Source organism: Homo sapiens, chromosome 11 (assembly GCF_000001405.40).
Source record: "Homo sapiens chromosome 11, GRCh38.p14 Primary Assembly".
In the NCBI taxonomy this organism is placed as follows: domain Eukaryota; kingdom Metazoa; phylum Chordata; class Mammalia; order Primates; family Hominidae; genus Homo; species Homo sapiens.
In genome coordinates this window covers 37854387-37859775 of record NC_000011.10, presented here as the reverse complement: position 1 = coordinate 37859775, position 5389 = coordinate 37854387, and the positions used below count along the sequence as shown (strand labels likewise).

At 39.3% G+C, this 5389-nt stretch overlaps 1 annotated feature.

Annotated features, from left to right (window-relative positions):
* Nucleotides 296–871: an enhancer, noted in NCBI's record as "OCT4-NANOG-H3K27ac hESC enhancer chr11:37880455-37881030 (GRCh37/hg19 assembly coordinates)". NCBI's record gives its function as "activates a minimal SCP1, AML or CMV promoter by ChIP-STARR-seq in naive H9 embryonic stem cells {active_cell/tissue: H9 hESC(naive)}" and the evidence as "EXISTENCE:reporter gene assay evidence [ECO:0000049][PMID:30033119]".

Genomic DNA, 5389 nt, shown 5'->3' with positions numbered 1-5389 from the left:
CAGAATATGGAGGACCCGCGCCGGCACCGGTCTCTGAGTTTCTTCAGTATTTATTGATCATTTTTTCTACTATCTTGGAGAGGGGGATGTGGCAGGACAATAGGGTAATAGTGGGGAGAGGGTCAGCAGGAAAACATGTGAACAAATGACTCTGTGTCATAAACAAGGTTAAGAAAAAGGTACTGTGCTTGGATGTGCACTTACATAAACATCTCAATGCATTAAAGAGCAGTATTGCCGCCAGTGTGTCCTGCCTCCAGCCCTAAGGCGGTTTTCTCCTGTCTCAGTAGATGGAATATACAATCGGGTTTTACACCAAGACATTCCATTGCCCAGGGACAAGCAGGAGACAGATGCCTTCCTCTTATCTCAACTGCAAAGAGGCCTTCCTCTTTTACTAATCCTCCTCAGCACAGACCCTTTACGGGTGTCAGGTTGGGGGATGGTCAGGTCTTTCCCTTCCCATGAGGCCGTATGTCAGACTATCACCTGGGGAGAAACCTTGGACAATACCTGTCTTTCCTAGGCAGAGGTCCCTGCGGCCTTCCTCAGTGTTTTGTGTCCCTGGGTACTTGAGATTAGGGAGTGGTGATGACTTTAAACAAGCATGCTGCCTTCAAGCATTTGTTTAACAAAGCACATCCTGCATAGCCCTAAATCCATTAAACCTTTAGTGGACACAGCACATGTTTCTGCGAGCACAGGGTTGGGGGTAGGGTTACAGATTAACAGCATCTCAAGGCAGAAGAATTTTTCTTAGTACAGAACAAAATGGAGTCTCTTATGTCTACTTCTTTCTACATAGACACAGTAATAGTCTGATCTCTCTTTCCCCACAAAGGAACATTAATTAAATGCATGTGGCATATTTGATACTTACAGAGAAGATAATTTTTTTAAAAAAATAATCTTTGTATGGGTAACAGAATTTGCAGCTTAATCATGTTGCTTCTCTTTATGAAAATTTTTACTCATATAAGGAAGATAAATTCACTGCATACATGCTTTGAGTACCGCAGCTTGGCTGGTTACTGCATCTTCAAAAATAGAGACTACTAGAGAACATCCACAGGTTGATAATTTAAAGTCCAAAGACATGGAATCATTTCCATGCAATAGAAGCTAAGTTCTATTAGAAAGTTAACAATTATATATCTGGGGCAAAGTTTATAAGATCAAGCATTGTAGAAAGATCTGTACATATTTAGCCACCAACAGGCATCACTTGGTATTACATATTAACACTTTAAATAGGTTGCTTAGCAGGATGATTGATGTATATTTTAAAATGTGTAGTTTACCAAATGCCACACAAATACATTATAGCAAAAAATGTATTTTTTCTAAATTTATATACTTGCTACAACAGAGAAGATGGAATATTTAGCATTTCGTCAAAAGCGTAGAGGTTAGCTCTGGAGTGGAATTTATCTAGCTCTCTCTCTCCCAAATGTTCATAATGCCATTATTTGAAAGAATATAGGAATGTTGAATCATTATCTCAGCTAGATAAATATATCTCTGCCCTTATTGTAGCAAAGTTGCTTATTTTGGAACTCTTTTATATAGAACAGATCGGAAGTGACAAAGACAATATGTAATTCAGTAGTCTTATCTTAATATTGAGAGAGCAGAAAGGAAGAAACCAGCTAGGCAGATAGGGCAAAGTGTCCTCAACAGAATTCCCTCTCTAGCAAAGAGCAGCTTGGAAGATTGGGCTACAAACATAGATAAGGAAGGGAGTTCCAGCACAGAAGGAGAGCCTCCTGGGTAATCAGCAAGCTTCAAATACACAAGGTGGGCCCCATTAAGCACATTGGGGGCCCTAGTGACCACATTCCTTTCCTTTTTTGGCCATACTAAGATAAGGAAGCTTGGGGGGAGGGGCGGGACAGGGAGGGAGGGGTGCTTGCAGCTACACGAATAAGAAGAACTACCTTGGGCCAGGCACATTCACCATGAATGGTTCTGCCCCCGCCGAGCACATGCACAGTGGGGAAAAAATAAGCAACATGGAGTAACTTAGCCTAAGGATCTGCCTGTGCAATAAAAGGTTGGGGTGGTGGCTGCCAGAGATTCATGCCCTATGCGGATGACACACCTAGTCCTAACTGGTTTTTTTGTGTCTTAAGTAGATAAGATACCCACTCCCCACTAGCTCATTTATAAAAACCCTAGCATTTCACTGAGAAATGGGCAACGTTGTTCGAGGCCCCTCTCTACAGCAGAGAGCTGTTTTCTTTCTTTTGCCTATTAAACATCTGCTCTAACCTCACCCTTGGTGTGGTTCTTTGTCCTTAATTTCCTCGGCTGTGAGACAAAGAACTTCTGGTGTCACGCCAGACAACGAGGCCATTTCAACATCTTAATCATGCTGGCACACTTATCAATGCAATTCAAGATCTTATGGCAATACTTATATAAGTTCATCTAACTCATTTAACTTGAGAGACTGTGATGTTTCATGGAAATGGACTTATGTCTGTTTTGAAAATTTGATGAAAGAGTGTGAGGACACGCAGTGTGTCTTAAAGACTTGGCTCCTTCATTATAGTAACAAAAGAATTTCCTCTACCATCCAAAACTCGAATGTAGAATAATTTTATTCATTTAAGTATATCCTCTCTTTTTCTTTTCTTCTATCATCAGTACTTTATGCTAAGTAAGCCATTGCTTAACTTTCTTCTAGTTGGTAATGTCTCCTCCCTTAATTTCTGCTAAGGGTAATTTCACAAACATATAAATTTTTAAATTCTCAAAGAGCAATAAACATATGTGAGGTTCTGAATAAGAACAGGCAGTTTTCTGAATATCTCATGTAATTTCCAATATTAATGTTTTCTTACTGAAACAGAAATCTCAGTCAATGATAGGAATTTAGTATTTGAAGACAAGTATACAGAGCTTTCGCATCCTGGAATTAACATTGAGAAACAAACACACAAACAAAAAACTAACATAAATTAGTTTTCCACATTTTTTTAGGTCACTTACCTGGAATTAGCCAAATTGTGAGGTTTGAAGGCATAGTCTTCCAGACTTCAATTCTATCCAGCACTTTGAACACCAACTTTTAGTTTGCTAGAAATACTCACAAAACCCTCTGAATGTTGTCATACACTGAGTACAGTTTATTACAGGAAAATGATATATTGAAACCAGCCAAAGAAAAAGACAGGGTTCCAAATAAAATGTGTCTGTTGTCCTCAGGATGCGTTACACTCCAGGGATGGCCAATGATACATTTTGGATATTTGTCCTTTCCAAATCTCATGTCAAAATTTGATCTCCAGTATTGGAGGTGGGGCTGTTGGTGAAAGGTGTTGGGATCATCTGGCCAGATCAATCATGAATGGCTTGGTGCTATTTTCTCCATGTTAGTGAATTTTTGTTCCATTAGTTCCCAAAAATCTGATTGTTAAAAAGGGCCTTGTGCCTTTCTCCTTTCTCTCTTCCTTCCTCATGCCATGTGATGCCTATTCCCCTTTGACTTCTGCCATGAGAGGAAGCTCGGTGAAGCTCTCAACAGGAGCAGATGCTGGTGCCATGCTTGTTATATGGCCTGCAGAATGATGAGCCAAATAAACTTCTTTTCTTTATAAATTACCCGGCCTCAGATATTTATTTATAGCAACACTAAATGGACTAGGGCAAGGAATATTGACAAACTATGAAATTTATCCAAGCTTCAGTGTACGGAATTTTTATTGGGCTTCTTTATGTAGTCATGACTGATTGATTGATTGATTGCCACTGTTGTTGAACTCAGTTTTCAGCACCCCTCTTCCTAGAGGTCATTATATCCTGTATCTCAAACGGTCCACCATGAGTCACCTCATTAGCATATTTTATTAAGTGTGGTCCAAGAGGCTCACTATGAGTAACAAAGACACTTCAATCACTCAGGAAATTTAAAGCATTTATAAATTACTTCCAGGAGTCAGTGGTAAAGGAGAGGCCTCTGTTTGGGCAAGGACAAATTATTCATGACACACCACCCAAAAAATATAACTAATTTTTCCTAAATCTACTGTAAACAAAAAATAAAATCTAGGCCCCCCAATCAACTGAACTCATTTGTATTTTGTTGTTGTTGTTGTGTGTTTTTTTTTTTGTTTTTGTTTTTTTGGTGGAAGGGGATGGAGTCTTCCTCTGTCAACTAGGCTGTGGTGCAATAGTGCAATCTCAACTTGCTGCAACCTCTGCCTCCGAGGTTCAGATAATTCTCCCACCTCAGCCTCCAGAGTAGCTGGAATTACAGGCACCTGCCATCATGCCTGGCTAATTTTTGTATTTTTGTAGAGTCGGAGTTTCACCATATTGGCCAGGCTGGTCTTGAACTCCTGACATGAGGTGATCCACCCACCTTGGCCTCCCAAAGTGCTGGGATTACACGTGTGAGCCACAGTGCCTGGCCTCAACTGAACTCTTTGGCCAAGGGAATCTCAGAGAAATCTGAAAAGTCATAAAGGTAACGCAGCTTAGACAAACTTCATTTTTGGAGTTTAGACACAACTGACCAGCATTAATGTGAAATAGCGATCGTGAGACTGACAGAATGGACTCTTTGTGACAATAAGATACCAAATTGTAAATAAGACTTAAGGCCTTGCAAGGCAAGGGTTACATCACAGCTTACAAAGCATAAAATCTCATTAAACTGGTTAACCTATTGTTAATCTGTTATGGCTTATTTCCAACCTGACTCTGGTATAGCATCACACAACAGATAGCACACCCCTTATCTTAACCTAAGTGTTCCTTTGTACCGACTTGTAGTCTTTAACAATGCTTCACTCTTTTAACCAATTGCAAATTAAAGAATGTCTGAATTCACCTATAACCTGTAAGCCTCCACTTCGAGATGACATACCTTTTCAGGCCAAACTAACGTATACCTTCCATGTATTGACGTGATGTTACCTGTAATTCCTATCTCCCTGGAATGTATAAAAACAAACTGTAACCTGACCACCTATGCACACTTTGTCAGAACCTCTTGAGGCTGTGTTCCTCAGGCCATGGTCACTTATATTGGCTCGTAATAAATTTGAGACTATAATAAATATTAAAAAATATAGAGTTTGGTTTTTTTCATTAAAATTGTTTTCACATTGTTATTTAGTGCATATTTAGAAAATCATTTTTTCTTTCTTTCCTTTCATTCTTTCCTTTCTCCTTCCTTCTTTATTTCTTTCTTCCTTCGTTTCACAGAGAGTTTCTAATTTAAACTAGAGACAAACTTTTTTTTGTGCTGGCAACTATTTCTCAGCAATTAGGAGAATTGCTGAATAGTAGAATTAGGAACATAGCTCTCTTTCATAAACTGGATGGTAGAATATCAGATGTCCACAAATGTCATTTCCTCAATATCTGCTCAAGAATCTCA